Source organism: Homo sapiens, chromosome 18, assembly GCF_000001405.40.
Source record: "Homo sapiens chromosome 18, GRCh38.p14 Primary Assembly".
Classification (NCBI taxonomy): domain Eukaryota; kingdom Metazoa; phylum Chordata; class Mammalia; order Primates; family Hominidae; genus Homo; species Homo sapiens.
This window is the reverse complement of record NC_000018.10, coordinates 46,503,965-46,520,257: the sequence shown is the minus strand read 5'-3', so window position 1 is coordinate 46,520,257 and position 16,293 is coordinate 46,503,965. Positions and strand designations below refer to the sequence as shown.

Genomic DNA, 16,293 nt, shown 5'->3' with positions numbered 1-16,293 from the left:
ATTGTATATGGAAACAGAAGTGGGGCTCTAAAAACCTTGACAGGCAGGAGTGTGGGGGCCTGCCACTCTCCTGCCTCTCGCCTGCTAGAGACTCAGAGAGCAGCACTTTCTATAGCGCACATCCTTCCCCTACCCCCCAGACATCTCCATCTGTGGCCAGACGGATGGTGTGGGTGAGCACACAGTTCATCCAGGGACCTCCGCCTGACCCACTTCCCAGCCTGTGTGTGCCTCTGTGCCACCGCCCAGCACACATGCACACCCCACGCAGTGCAGCTGCAGCTCCCTTGGAGCCCTTTAGTCCAGGAAAATCCAGACCTACACCCGTTATCCATGGCACAAAGGAACACAGGTTTGTCACTTTACAAAGAACTGCAGGGTTCTTTGGGCTGGCCATCTCCCCAGGACACCTGGTATCAGACTAGAATTACAAGAGCACTGTTTCTGTCTCTTTTTGGAAGCACACTTATTACATAAAAAGAGATGTATCTGTGTAAAGGAGAGAAAGATGGATGCAGAGAACACAAGAGTCGGACGGACCAGCTCTCAGGGGCCAGTCTCCATGGGGCAGCTGAAGCACTCATTTTGATCATTCTATTTTTTATGCCTGCCTGGATAAGAGCAAAAAAGTGTCAGGCTCGCACTTTTGTTCCCAGTGGCTCCTCCTGCCCATCATGAATGCCCTTGTTGGGTGGCCTAAGGGGATTTTCTTGGTAAAGCAAGAGGCTCTTCATCCATTCCCTCAGCAAACATGTCCTGAATTTCTCCTGCGGGCCAGGCCTGCACAGAATACTTCAAACCTCACAGTGTCCTGGCAGAGATTCTAGATGCTGCCAGAAAAGCATGCAACCCCCACCAGGACAATGATGGGAACATGACCGCTGTGATTAATAGCTCCGGTTTGGAGGTCCAGGCTTCTGGGTAATGGGGACCAGGCCCCTGCACAGGTGATAGAGGAATGTAGCAGCCTCCAGAGAAGGGACACACTGGACCAGGTACGTTCAAAGGAGACAGTCAAGATGGCCCTTCCCCAACCGTGTGTCTGAGCCTCTCCTGAACCTTCAGACTTCACTGTGAGTCCAGGGGCACTTGGTGAGAAGGAAGGGAGTAAGAATCTGGGACCAAAGAACATTCTAGAACATCAGTGTAAGTGCTTTCTCTTGCCACGAGGCTGCCTCACAGAGGAAGAACCGAGGTGGGGGCTTGGTGAAGGCACACCAGGAAGAGCAGGCTGCGCCTCACCCTCCAGTGGAGACAGAGGGCAGACATTCTCTTTGGAGCACACCTCAGGCTAAATGGCAAAACCCCAATCTCAAGTGAACATCATGGAACTAGGGGATTGTCTCACTTCTCCAGTGGATTGAGGCAGTGCTCCCTCTGTAAGAATCACTCCCGATGGCACCCCTCATTCGCAGCTGCAGGGCATGTGCAGGCTGTGGCATGAAGGGGAACTGACACCCAGAGCTTTGGCTGCTGCTTGGGGCTGCACAGGTGGCAGGCTCAGCACCAGGTGCCATGCGAATTGTCAGCAGCTCTCACTCTGCAAGGGAGCTTATCCCTATTTTACCACAGGGGAGCAGAGGCTGGTGAGGTCGGGCATCTGCCCGGGTCTAACAGCCAGCAGGTGGCAGGTCTGGGATTCACATGGAGCTCTGGAGGGCTCCAAAGGCCACTGTCCTGCCACCATGCGCTGCTGGCATGCCTGGACTTAGGTTGGAATTCAACTGACAGCGTCAGTTAACGCCAGGCTTTCCATCATGTTTCTATTGCAGAAGGGCTGTCAGAACTCCTTTCTAGGGTGGGACTGGGCACAGTGGGGTATATAAGAGAGTGACAAGGCTGCCTTTTGCTGTCCAGGCATTTACAGTTGATTTGAGGAAGGGCTCTTTCCAGAGCTGTGGAACTTGGACAGTGTGTCTCTTTCTCTGGTGAGACTGAGGCAGGTCAGGTGGGGTTGGAGGGTGAGGCTGAGACTCAGCACCTGCATTCCTCTCATGGCAGGTTCTCTATGAAATGACGGTGTGGACAGGGGATGTGGTTGGCGGGGGCACTGACTCCAACATCTTCATGACCCTCTACGGCATCAACGGGAGCACAGAGGAGATGCAGCTGGACAAAAAGAAAGCCAGGTACCTGGAGGCGGCCCCTGCCCCTCACCCCTCCCACATTCAACTCTCCCCCTCTGCCCCACCCTGCCTTCAGCCAGGCTGATTCTCACATGCCCGCTGCAGACCATGAGGCCTTCCTTCCTCTGCCTTTGTCTATTCTGTCTCAGTACCTTTCTCTTTCAAGGGCCAGCTCAAATCTACCTCCCCCAGGAAGTATTCCTTGATCACCTCTACCCATAACATTTCTTCTTTCTTTCATTTGGTACTCAAAATTGTTTATTGTAAGGTTGGTAGATTAGTTGATGGTATTGTATCATTGTTAATGTCTTGGTTTCATTAACTGTACTATGGCAATATAAGATGTTAACATTAAGGAGAGCTAGGTGAAGGGGGCACAGAAGCTCTATTCTATTTTTGCAACTTTTCTGTAAGTCTCAAATGATTACAAAATAAAATATAGTCAATTTTCAAAACATTAAAAAAAGACTGAACACCTAGTATATGCCAGGCACTGACTCAGGCACTGAAGAGATGATATAACCAAGAAGACAAGGGTCCTTGTACTTACACAGCTTAACCTAAGGAGGGCAATAACAGCAACACTAACATTTATAGAAGCTTGTTTTGTGCCAAGCATTGTTCTATCATAAGTCATGTATTGATACACTTAGTCTTTTCCTCAACCCTATAATAATAACCCAATTATTATCATCCCCATTTTACAGGTGAGAAACTGAGGCACAATAAGGTAAAGTCATATGCTCAAAGTCCCATGGCCGTTAAGCTGTGGCACTGCAAACTATACCCAGATGGCCCCCAGTCCTAATCACTCATTAGTGATTAGTAATGACATTAAAGATGGCCCTCCTATAGTACTCATTGTCCCTGTCCTCCCTTGGATTCCCAATTTAGACAGTCCTGGGTTTGGGCTGGTTTGTCATGTTCAGCCACTGTCCCCCAAACATCCCTGGCCCCTGACATCTTAAGAACCAGAGATGACAGACTCGGATCCTAAGCTTAACATTTTAAAAACCCACCCACAGCAACTTGCCTCTGAACACACAGCACTCCTTCCCTTAGCTGGAGGGCAGGACCCAGGCGGCTTCCTTTCTGAGCCCCTCATACCTCCTAGCTCTTGCCTTGCTTATAGTAGGCACTCAATACTTCTGGATTGGGGTGGTGATGAGGACATTGTGGATGATAAGTGAGGATGGTGATATTGATGGTGCTGAATGGTAGGGATGATGACTGGGATGATGGTAGTGATGATGGTGATAGGGATGAAGGTGATGGTAGGGATGATGATGTTGATGATGGTAGGGATGATGATGATGATGGTGGTGGTAATAGGGGTGAAGGTGATGGTAGAAATGATAATTGTGATGATGGTGATGATGATGATAATGATGGTGATGATGGTGATTATGATGATGAGGGCAGTGATAGGGATGAAGGTGATGATGGTAGGGATGATAATTGTGATGGTGATGATGATGATGATTATGATGGTGGCAGTGGTGATAGGGATGAAGGTGATGATGGTAGGGATGATAATTGTGATGAAGGTGGTGTTGGTGATGATGAGGATGTGGCTACTGAAGCTTTTGAGGACCAGGCAGCATTTCTTTTCATGGACGGAGCAGCTCGTGCAAGCTGGAGCTTTGCCCATCCTATGGGCCCTATGCAGCTCATCCCTGGGGGTCTGATTTTGTGTCTGTCTTCTTTTAGCACTTCTGCTGTCTCATTTTGCAACTCCCATTTCCTCCTTGAATTCTTCCCATATCAACAGCAGTCGTGATAATAATAATGGCTAACATGCATTGAACATTTATTCCATGTCAGGCACTGTTGCAAGTGCTTTTTAATATATATTAACTCACAACACCCCTCTTATCACTCTTTGTACTCTTATCGTCTCCACCAGTAAGATGCCTGAGACACATAGAGGTGAAATAACTTGCCCAAGGTTATACAGCAAGTAAGTAGGGGAACTGGGATTTGAACTTGGTTCTAGAAATAAAGGAGGACCAAATGAGAACAGAAACTCTCTACTTAGAGCTTGCTACAACAAGAGACTCAGTTACCATCACTTGGTTTGGTAGAGATTTGAAGGCTGTGAGAGGAGGAGGAGCTTTATAGTGAAGCATTATTTTTGGTGTGGTAAAGCTGGAGGTAGGGTAGCCAGAATCGGGATTTCATACGTGATTGCATTGGGGAGCATATCTGGATTTGGTCCGTCGGTCTGGTTAGTCCTGAGTTGGGAGCAGGGACAAAATAGGGAAGCTGGGGGCCATTGCCCAAGTCCTGACCATTCTGGACCAATTTCTGTAGAGACCGTGGTTTCTTGGGATGGTCGCTGCAGAGGAGGCAGCTCAGAGTTCTATTATCATACATGGTCTGGCTACTATTGTTTGCATATTCAGTCTCCTATAGTCTTTACTTCTGTACTGTGACTCTAATCTCTACCCAACCCCATATTCCTGGATTTTCTCTGATTAACTATCCCACTCCTACATTCCAACTTGTTTTCCAGATGTACAAGGCTTAATTGCTGGTGGAAGAGGCATCTCGTTTCTGGAAGTATCTAAATTCCAAAAATGTTGCTTGAAAATCACATCATTATAAATACAACCATATTGTAAATGCTTTGAGCCACCTTGCTAGTTAAAAGATTTTTTTTTTCTGAATAAAGATTTATTTTGTGAGGGGAGCCATCATTTCTTGATTACCCTGGTTTGCAAGCTCAGGGCTGTTACCCGAGACATGTTTTGATTTTTTCATTTGCATGTGGCCTGATGTTTCACCTGTGTCTTGAAGTCCTTGTTAAGAATGTCTGTATCTTGACTAGGAAGATAGATAGAAAGACCCACTGGGCATGTGTCATGGGCACAGCTTGCTATTGTGCAAGGTGATACTTTCAAATGGTATGTGACCAGAATGAGGCTGAGATATGCATGCATTCACACAGAAGGTATCATGAGGCTTCTACCTGCTGCAACGCTCCTGCAGTCAGATGCTATACCCAGGGGCTGAAGCTTACAATAGCCAATAGCAGTTCACTCTATCCCACTCCCCAGCTAAATTTCCCAACTTCTCATCTTGCCACTTCAGAGAAAATGGTTCTGGTAAATTAACTCCCATGAGATGCTGGTGAATTAATATGGCATTCAGAAAATATGATGCCCTAAAAGGTAATGCATACTCTCAGGAGATGAGTCTCTAACAGAGGGATTTGAGGCGATTGGTGTCCAGTGGGTGTAGAAACTATTTTTAGACAAAGAATTGTGGTATTTCTATAGCGGGAAGTAAATGCCTATGAGGGGTCATGCCTAGGCCCAGTAGAAACCTAGTGAAATGGGAGCTTCCTTAGACTGGACACAAAAAGGATTTTGGGTCCCTTTTTGTGTCACAAAAGAGTTCTGCTGGGTTTACCCTTCAGGATGGCCTATTGCTTTCACTAACCCTTAGTACAAAGAGCATGGAAAGAGGCTGAGCTCAAGGGAATGGAAACAGAGGACAGACACTCAAATGGGATTCCAGTTGCCCTTTCAGGAAAGGATCAGGAAATACTTGGCTGTGACCATGTCTAGGGCTGTAGTAAGCTTGTAAGTTTTGACTCTCTCTTCCACATCTTTATCACTTGAATCTTAGTCTTTTTAGCAATAAAGCTCTGAGACTGCAAAGGGCTTATCTTTGGGGACTTCATGGGCAGAAGACTTGGGTGGGAAGGTTGAGTCCTTCTCAGAGAGCTTGGAGGTGAGTCCCAGGGGACAGCATGAATGATGGTGGTCTGAGAGAAGAGGAAGGAAAGCTGAGTTCCAGGAACTGCTGCCATCCAGGGGCACCCGAGTCAGGCAATTGAAAAGTTCCTGCACTCACTGCTGGGCACCCCTCTCAAAGCACCATCTGTAGCTCAAGGGCTGCCCTTTAAGAGGAGACTGGCAGATATGTACTAGGTCTGATCATGGCATTCAAGAATAGCAGAGACTTAGAATCTGTTTAAGATTTGACCTTGTTCTACTCTCAAACCACAGCAAAGATGCCCACAAGATAGAGATGCAGCTCCCCATCACCTCATATGTCTCGTAGGGGATGCACAAGGTCCAGCTTTCCCAGTGGTCCCTAAGGAGCCCAGATCAGCAGAGCCTGGGACTGGAGGCTCTGTCTTTTGTGTCCCAGTTACTTCAGCCTCCATGGACACTTACATCATCACTGAAGCCAACTCCCTGCTGCTCACCAGCCCCAGGCTTGGAATTTTCTCTGTGTGAGTTCCAAGGCAGCCTCCCCTTGTCTACCTGCTTTCTGGTCCCAAAGTTTTCCAGTCACATCACTTGGGGCTATATTAGTTTCCTGAAGTGGTGATACAAAATTACCATAAACATAGTGGTAATTAAAACAACAGAATTTTCTTCTCTCATTTTTCCGGAGGCCAGAAACCTGAAATCAGAATCTGTGGGTGGAAATCAAGGTGTCAGCACCACCATGTGCCCTGCAGGCTCTGGGAGAGAATCCACTCCTTGCAGCTTCTGGTGGCTGCCAGCAGTCCTTGGCTTGTGCTGCATCACTCCAGCCTTCAAGGCCAGGTCTTCCCATCTCTGCCCCATCTTCACATCCCACCTCTTTTGTGTATGTGTTGATCTCTCTCTTTCTGCCTTCTTATAAGGACTCTTGGGATTACATTAAGGGCCCACTGGAATAATCCAGGATAATCTCCCCATCTCAAGCCTCTTAACTTAATTACATCTGCAAAGACCTCCCTTTTCTTTTTACCATACAGTTATATACATGGATTCCAAGATTTAGAACACGGATATCTTTTGGGGGACCATTTTTCAGCCTACCACAGGGGCTACAATCCACAGAGCATGGATCTGAAAATTCTGTCACATGAAGAACAGTCAAAGGTTCTAGAGACATTTACATTTTTAAACATTTTATCATGAACATACATATATATGTAAAAGTACATACATTATTGATACTTGTAAAGCAAAAACTTATGTAAACCCTCCATGCTGCCTTCAGGCCAAGAAATTAAATCTTGACAGTTCTCAGCTTTTAAGGTAAACATTTTCTTGTTTCCTTTCTTTTTTGATCTCCATCTCATGGGGCTATGCTTTCATATCACCTGGATTTCATACCTAATGATAGGCTTTTATATCACCTGGATTTGAATGGTACCTAAATAGAATCAGGCCATATATCTTATTTTATGTCTTAGTTCTTTCACTCCGCATCAGGTTTTTCATATTTTCCTGAGCTGTTGAGTGTGATTGTGATTTGCTCATTTTCATTGCTGCATAGTATTCCATTGAGGACCCTGGAGAAGAGAGAGATCCAGTGGTTTGTTTCAAAGGGGTAGAGAGGGAAGAGAGTAGAGGCACTGAGATTGGTCAGATGTTGACAATTCAACAATTTATTCTGGTGGCAGAACTCAATGTAACAAAAACTTACTAAAGGTTGGCCATGGATGTCCTAAGAGGAAAAGAGCTGCAAGGGTGGCCATGGAGCCCCATCAGTAGAGCTGTCTAAGCATGGAACCACCCAGTAGGTTCATTTTGCCCACAGCCCAGAGATAGCTGATTTATCAAAGCAGGGGAATTGCAATAGAGAAAGAGTTTTACACATGTGGAGCTGGCTAAATGGGAGACCAGAATTTTATTATTACTCAAATCAGCCTCCCTGAAAATTCAGAGACAAGGGTTTTTTGAGGATAGTTTGGGAGAAGAAATGGGGGTGTCTAGGCAATGGGTGCTTGCTGCTGATTGGTTTGGGGGTACAATTATAGGGGTTTGGGAAATGGCCCTCATTGCATGCTGAGTCGTTTCTGGGTGGGGCCACAAGAGCTGTTGGCAGGTCCAGGTGGAGCCATTGGTCATCAGACATGCAAAAAACCTGAAAAGACATCTCTAAAGGCCAGTCTTCAGTTTAAAATGGCGATGTTGTTATCTGCAGGGGTAATTGGGGAAGTGCATATCTGTAATAATGGCTGGCAATGTTTATGTCTATGTTTTAGCAGAATTCAGGCTCCTCTCATCCTCCTAGGCTGGTAGTCTCTCCTTAACTTTATGGAAGGGCTATTATCGTTTAAACTATACACTAAATGTCTCCCAAAGTTAGCTTGACCCAAACTCAGGAAGAATCAAGGGGAGTTTGAAGGCTAAAGGCAAGATGGGGGTTGATTAAATCAGATCTCTTCCACTGCCAAAATTTTCTGTTATAATTTTTTCAAAGGTGATTTCAAGCATAGGCTCAATGGCCTTGGATATGGAGAACTTCAGACTGGAAGGAGGGTGGTCTAGAGCAAAGCTAAAACTGGCACTCTGACCCTGGCCAATCCTGAGAGCCCCAGCTATGCCCCTAAGATGTCACAAAGACAAACTGCCTGAGCAGCTGCCCAGCGTGGTGGGCTTTAGACCCCACACCATCCATCCCCATCTGCTGGCCAGCCCTCTCCCAGGGTCCCTAACCATAACCCTTCCCGGGCTTTGTAGCAATGCCAAAAATTCTCCCATGAAATAGTTGTCCTTCCAGCCTAAGCCTTTGGCCCTGTTTAGCCTTCAGGCTGTGCTCAGTCATGGAGCCCAGTGAGGGAGTGGTTGCTGGGCCCTCCCTAAGGACAGCCTTTCATAGCAGGCAGGAACAGAAGGAAACCAGAATAGGAAGGACGTGAGGGGCAGCCAAAGGGGGCCCTTCCTAGACACCACTGCCTCAGCTGCTGAGCAGAGGATCCTTTGAGTAGATGAACAGCAAAAATCCTGGGCCACACAACAGCCCTGTCCCTGTGAACCAGGGGCAGAAGGCCTGGATCAAAGGCTGGCTCCTCAACTGAGGTGTCTGGAGGGGGTCTGGGGCACCTGGAAGGATGTGGCTAGTGAGTTGGGAAGACTGAAGGACAAATAAGGGCCTTCACTTTAGATGGTTTTACACCGAAGAGAGGAAGTCCATCCAGGTTAATTGGGGTTCAGCCTGGAATGAAGGGTGAGGGGGTAAATGTAATCTCCTTGCAGTCTTCCAGAAGAAAAGCTTGTTTCTCCTCCCCTTTTCCTTACACCTGTCCCACCATAAAATCTCCATAAAATGAAGACACTTGGCTAAATTCAAAGAGTGAAAATTAAAGAGACATGCAAAGCGAAGAATTCTAAAGCTCTTTTGATCTGCAAAATCATGCTCCTGGCAAGAGTAAGGAATTGAAAGATTATTTGAGAGAATCTCAGTGTGTGACATGAATGTGACATGAGCACCTCCTTACAGTTTCCATTATGCCCAGAGGGACAGATGGGGCTTCAATTAGAGGAGGAGGGATATGGGGCTGACTTTGAGATAACTTTTTTACTTCTAATAATTGTAAAATGCACACAGAGCAAGTTGTCAGAAGAGATTGTCTCTGTTTCACCACCACCTTTAAGACTAGCAGTAGTTAGTTCTCAATTTGCAATATTTAAGTCTCAGCCGCCATCAGCTATGGCCTCTGTTTTTAAAAGACATAAAAATATGTCTTGTATTCAAGGAAGCACGACGATTGCCATGCAGAGCCACATCTCCAGTGCCACCTGCATTACCCCGAGGGCCTTATCAGCAGTATCATCTGGAATCAGTCAGCAGTCAAGCAATCAGTCAGCATTGAAGGTCGAATTGTACATGCGGCACTGTGGGAAGAGCAGTAAGGAATAAAGATAGAGCATCTCTGAGATGATGAGGTCATTCAGCAGGAAAATAATAATAGCAACAAAAGCAGCATTACCTTCTATTTGCCTACTGCTTTACAGTTGGCAGTAGCATTACCCAATTCAGGGCACTGTGTTCAGTTTTGCAGATGGCAAATAGAAAAATGTGAACGATGCCATCTAGAGTTGTGCAGTGCACAGCCTGCCCCACCATTCGCAACGGGCCTGTCATGCACAGAATCTCATTTACAGCTTTTCAGATATGGAATTATTTTTCCATTTTAAGTTGATTTCACATCCATTTGGTCTCCATCACAGTTTTGTGAGATTGCAGGGCTAGTGTTATTCTCCAGACCACAGGTAAGGAAACCAAGTTCTAGAAAGGAACTAGGACTATTCTAGGTGACTGGTAGAATGAGATTAGAACCCAGCACTGATACCTCTTGGTTCGGGGCCATTTCTACTAGCCAAACTCACTTAACCCAGTCTTTCAGGAACACATCTGGGATGCAAGAGATGGGCTGGTGGAGAGTTGCTGAGAGCAGAGGGGCTGCTGAGTAAAGGCCTAATCTTCTCCCTCACCCCAAACCTGGCCTCTGGCCTGGCCCACCCCAACCCTCCCCAATGGCCAGCTTCCCTTCTTCATGCCCCTCCTCTCCACCCCCAGGTTTGAGCGGGAGCAGAACGACACCTTCATCATGGAGATCCTAGACATTGCTCCATTCACCAAGATGCGGATCCGGATTGATGGCCTGGGCAGTCGGCCGGAGTGGTTCCTGGAGAGGGTAAAATGTCTAGACCCTCACTCTTCCTTCCAGCCACCACCCACCCCTTCCCCTGGTTCCTCTGGCTTGTCAATGGACCTTGTTAAAGCACAAATGTCACTGTAGAGGATCATTACATGAACCCAGCCCATATGATCCAGTATGCCCTTTGGCATGAATTAATCAGAGAATGTCGTTTTATTTATTTGTGTCCAGTGAGAACTGAAGCAACTGTCAGGTAATTAAACAAGAGCTGTCAACGTTACGTGGACAGAGACCTGAGAAAGGGGAGGGGTGGTGTGGGCTTCCTTCAGGACAGCAGCTGGGAGGGTTGAGAGAGGAGGAGCAAGGCCTGGGGCAGAGAGAGGCTGCCATGGTGGGAACTTCAGGCAGGATGGCAGAAAGCTTACTGGGGCCTCTGTGATCACGGAGTTAGGCAGCTGCTTCTTTTTCCATTGTGGGCCTCTGAGTCTGAGCTTGGCCGTCAGCACCCTGCCTGAGGAACCTGGATCCTTAAGCTCTCAGTTGGGCTGAAGCCAGCCTTGGGGATGGGATGCTGGGATCTTCAAGGAGCAACAGCAGCGTGGGATTTCTTAGTTCTGCCTCCATCCTCCCGCTTTTCCCAGCATACATATGCATGGGCACATATGCACACACATACATGCACATGGCCACAGACTCAGTTTCCACCAAGAAAGGAAGGCAGCTGCTCCTTCTCAGGACCTCTCATCACTTCCTCACCTTCCCCAGCTGTGCGGCTCTGTGCCTTCAGGCTGCCCAGAGGAGAGTCATTAACACTTGCTGCTCCAGGGCAGAGAGAAGAGCGTCCACGGCATAGGGCCAAGCTGCACTCATTTTGATGAGAACCACTGTGATGTTAGGAGTCCAAGGGCTTTCCATGCTAAGAGTGGCTCCAAAGCTGGAGACCCCTGGCAGCCAGGAGGAGCCTCATCTGCAGCACCAGACTCATAAAGGCAATGACTATGCCGACAAAGATGATCTTCCTGCAGCCTCCGTGTCACACGAGGTCCTAGGCATGCGAACTTGTGTGTTGTGCCAGTCCTCCTTACATAATGTATGTTATAGTCTCAGGCAGCATAACAAAGCACCATGGACTAGAGGCTTAGAACAACACACATTTATTACTCCCTCACTGTCATAGAGGCAGAAGTCCAAGGTGAAGGTGTCGGCAGGGCCACACTCCCTCTGAAGGCTCTAGAGAAACATCTGTTCTGGGCCACTCTTCTGGCTTCTGGCAGTTCCCTGGCTCGGGGCAGCATCATGCCAGTCTTCACATGGCGTTCTGGGTGCATGTCTGGGTGGTATAAGATTGGACTAGGGCCCACTCTAATGACCTCATCTGAACTGATTACACCTATAACAATCCCCTTTCTAATAAGGTCACATTCTGAGGGACTGTGGGTTAAGAATTCAACATATGAATTCTGGGGGAATACAGTTCCACCCATAACACAAAGCCCTGCAGTCCCCTACCTGAGTCAGCCCATGCAACCTCGTCTACCAGAGGCCAGCTGTCCTGCATCGCCTCAGGCTCCTCCTCCCCTGTTCAGCCATTAGCAGACTTTCTTGAGTCAATAATATGGTGCCCACACCAAGGACTAACCTGCAAATGTCAGCGTTCTGCTCCCAGGTGTTTGTGGCTGACAGGGGCTCGGTTGGTCCATTTTTCTGTCACTCTTTCAGCAAATATCTCTTGTGCACAGTGACAGGCACCTCTGAGGACACAGCTTTAGGTGAATTGCCCATTCCCAAATCCCAAGCTAGGGCAGTCCTCGTAAGGACTTCAAATCCCATGCCAGGCACACAGGACAGGGCCTTTGTCCTGGAAAGGGCCCTTTCCACACCCCGTGGGTCTCAGTCGCAAGCGCTTGTCTCAGGTCTGGGATCTCCAGGGTTGGGATTCGGGGAGGGGCTGCATGAGCCAGGGGGTGCTGGTGGAGGTGAGGGAGGACAGGGCATTCCCACGGTGGCTCCCTCTCCCCCAGATCCTACTGAAGAACATGAACACTGGAGACCTGACCATGTTCTACTATGGAGACTGGCTGTCCCAGCGGAAGGGCAAGAAGACCCTGGTGTGTGAAATGTGTGCCGTTATCGATGAGGAAGAAATGATGGAGTGGACCTCCTACACCGTCGCAGTTAAGACCAGCGACATCCTGGGTGGGTCGGGGGTCCCTCACACCTCCCGCTCCCTTACCACTCCAACCGTCAAATTCGGGCTCAGGCCCTTGTTTCTGGTCAGGGCATTTTTCTTCATAAGGCCTTCCAAAATCTAGTCAATCCAAGTTTTCTCCACAGTGTGTCGCTTTCTGTCTGGACAAAGCATCTCCTCCCAGGGAGTGACTGGTTCCCTCCCTCCTCCCTTGGGGAAATAGGGGAGAACATTACTGGGGAGTATGGTCAGCACTTTTGGAAATGGTACAGGCACTTGATGCAGAGCCTTCCCATCTTCCTTCTGCTGCCTGGCACCCCTCGCCCAAGTGTCATGCACCTCAGGCATGCTCGGACCCATGTGCTTGGTGGCCATCTACCATGTGCCGGCTTTGGCTGTGGGTCTTAGGATACAGATGTGCTGCCCAAACCTTGCAGGTCTGACCTTCATTGGAGCAACCACAGTGCAGTGCGGTGACGCTCCGATGGATGCAATGCCAAAGTCAAGTCCAGAAAGACAAATCCAGAAGCCAGGCAGACAGGGCACCCAGAGGAAGGATCTTCTAATCAAAAGTATTAGCATGTTAAAGGCCAGGAGCTGAGAGGGAACACACTGTCATCCAGGCATGGGGGCAGTACCTCCTACCTACACTCCCCTATCCCAAGCCTGCTCTCCAGGAGCCATTACAAGGAATCTGGCAAGCTCATCACATTAATTATAAATGGTGAATGAAGGATTAACTTGTTGGCCATGGTAGCTTACATTTTCAACAGAGAAGCCTCTTGCCAGATAAATGAAGCTCTCATAGTAGGATCTCAGGCATAAATGATAGGTCAATAAAGCTAGTAAATTTTGTTGGGGGTACCTCCTTTCTTCCTATTCTCACAATGGAACTTTTACCCCTATTGCTTAAAGTTCCAAGTGTCATATGTTTTCAGACCCCTCCATCCCTTTATGATGCACTCAGAAAATAATAAATTCATTGATAACCACAGATGTGTGTCAGAAAAGCTTCACTGGGTCACCCCTTCCAGAAGCATTTGCTTTTGACTTGGGCCAATACCTGTATTTGGCTTAAGCAAATGATATGAAGCTCTAGTGTAGAATGTCAATCAGAGACAGATTTAGGGAACACAGAACTTCCCTGCTTCCTTCTGAACCCACACTGTGCAGGAGGTAGCCTATGTTTCTAAACTGTAAAGCCAGCCTATATGACACGCCTTTTAAGTTTGGGTATATTTCCCCAGAAATAGATGAGTTTTGTACTAAACCATTCACACTTGCTGACCATGACTCCAGTTAGACCAAAAGCTTTTGTAAGGCACAAAGATAAGATGAAGAAGAGAATTGGAGACCTGGGACAGTAATTGACCCTTTCCAACCTCACCCCTGGCCTTCTTGAGTCTGTACTCTGTCCACCTGTACCCCTGACTCCTCTGAGGAGTCCGGGATCAAGGCCAGAGCAAGAGGACTGTGTGTCAAAGAGGCTGGCACCCTAAGCCTCACCTTGTGCACCCCCCAGGAGCAGGCACTGATGCCAACGTGTTCATCATCATCTTCGGGGAGAACGGGGATAGTGGGACACTGGCCCTGAAGCAGTCGGCAAACTGGAACAAGTTTGAGCGGAACAACACGGACACATTCAACTTCCCTGACATGCTGAGCTTGGGCCACCTCTGCAAGCTGAGGGTCTGGCACGACAACAAAGGTAGCTCCCACTCAAGGCCAGGTTGGTGGGAGGGCAGCCCTCAGCTCCCTTCCTGAGCCATTATTCCCTCCCTGGCAGCACATTGACTCTGATTACCCCAGGGTGGCAGAAAACTGAACACAGTTGATGACCACCACATTGATGCTTCCATCAGTATGAAAGAGCCAGTGTTTCTGGGCAAATATTTTTAGAGAGGAAGCTTAGTTCCTCCTGCTTTCTCCCTGGGTGATTAGTGGTTCTCCATTGTTTGTGATTTCAGAGCATTAATTTGACTTAGTTCAGGCTTTAAAAATTAAGAAAAAAAGCTAAATCACCAGTTCATTTCCCATGGATTTTCTATAAAGGATTATGTTTGTGCCGGGTGCAGTGGCTCATGCCTGTAATCCCAGAACTTTGGGAGGCCAAGGTGAGAGGATTGCTTGAGCCCCAGGAGTTCAAGACCAGCCTAAACAACATTGTGAGATCCCATCTCTACAAATAATAAAAAAGAATAGCTGGGCATGGTGGCATGCACCCGTGGTCCCATCTACTTGGAGGCTGAGATGGGAGGATTGCCTGAGCCCAGGAGGTCATGGCTGCAGTGAGCTATGATTGTGCCACTGCATTCCAGCCTGGATGACAGAGTGAGAACCTGTCTCAAAAAAAAAAAAAGAAGGGATTATGCTTGTTTATTCATAATAGTAATCCTAAAGTTGTTGAATTCACTTATAAATATAAACTATGAAATAGGATATAAACCAAGTGAGAAATATATTTTTAACTTTGCAGTGCCTAAGGAATGCTTTGTCATTTCTATAACTGTGATGACGTTCATGTTCTCAACATTTCTTTGGTTATCATTTTGCTGTCTTTAAGCCACTTTATTTTCTCTGGCTTTGGGCCTATAAGTTCTATTTGTTATAATTAGGATAGAGTTGTTAAATATTAAATTCCACCTCCTTGATGCATACCGCTTTCTTCATTCACCCTTTTGTCTTCTGTAGAAACATGTCTCTGCAAAGCTATCTGCTCAAAGCCTTCTCTAGCCTTTGCTGGGTCTCCCAAATGGCTGCCCAGAGCTGTCCTGAATGTTGTGTTGTTCCTCACTTCTTCCAAACCCCTGCGGAGGACTAGCCTATCTGTCACGGTCACTGACGAAACCCAACTCGGTAGTTTGCAACCTCTCTTCCATAGGAGCTAAGCTATTTTGCTTTAACGTGGATTAAACAGTTAAAATTTTTTCCATAACACAGAATAAACTCAGACTAGGCATTGATAAAATAGCCTTTAAGGCAATAAAATAACAAATATTTACACAGCACTCCACAGTTTTCAAATTTCAGTGTATCCCACCAGTCATTTGTATACGGAACATCTAAAGTATTCATGACATGCCTGGGACTCTGTTAGGTATTAAAGATACAAACATTTGATTCTCAAAAATACTTTGTGAGGCCAGGGGCTGTGGCTCACAGCTGTAATCCCAGCACTTTGGGAGGCTGAGGTAGGCAGATCACTTGAGCCCAGGAATTTGAGACTAGCCTGGGCAACATGGCGAAACTCCATCTCTACCAAAAATGCAAACATTAGCCAAGTGTGGTGGCTTATGCCTGTAGTCCCAGCTACTGAGGAGGCTGAGATGAGAGGATCACTTGAGGTCAAGGCTGCAGTGAGCTGTGATTGCATCACTGCACTCCAGCCTGGGTAACAGTGAGACTCTGTCTCAAAAAAAAACAAAACAAAACAGTCAAAAACAAACAAATAGAAACCTTTGTGAATTACTGCAGCAAAAGCACTTTATTGCTCCTCTTTTTACAACCAAGTAATATTGAGTCTAGTGAGGTTTGAATGTCTTACTCAGAACCACACAGCAAGGAAGGGACACCCAAACCAG

General features: G+C 47.2%; 1 protein-coding gene across 19 annotated transcripts in view; it reads left to right on the top strand.

Moving 5' to 3' along the window:
• The window catches only part of LOXHD1 (lipoxygenase homology PLAT domains 1), a 180,260-nt gene that overhangs the window by 136,963 nt on the left and 27,004 nt on the right, over positions 1-16,293 (top strand). For 15 of the 19 annotated variants that reach the window (NM_001145472.3, NM_001308013.2, NM_144612.7 and 12 more), the window contains 4 exons: positions 2,002-2,129; positions 10,443-10,560; positions 12,546-12,720; positions 14,235-14,420. In NM_001145472.3, coding sequence (NP_001138944.1) covers positions 2,002-2,129; positions 10,443-10,560; positions 12,546-12,720; positions 14,235-14,420 — 607 coding nt within the window. Of the gene's footprint in view, position 1; positions 996-1,171; positions 1,380-2,001; positions 2,130-10,442; positions 10,561-12,545; positions 12,721-14,234; positions 14,421-16,293 lie in introns of those variants that run through there. The other 4 variants (NM_001173129.2, NM_001145473.3, XM_011525811.3 and 1 more) reach the window with 3 other exon arrangements.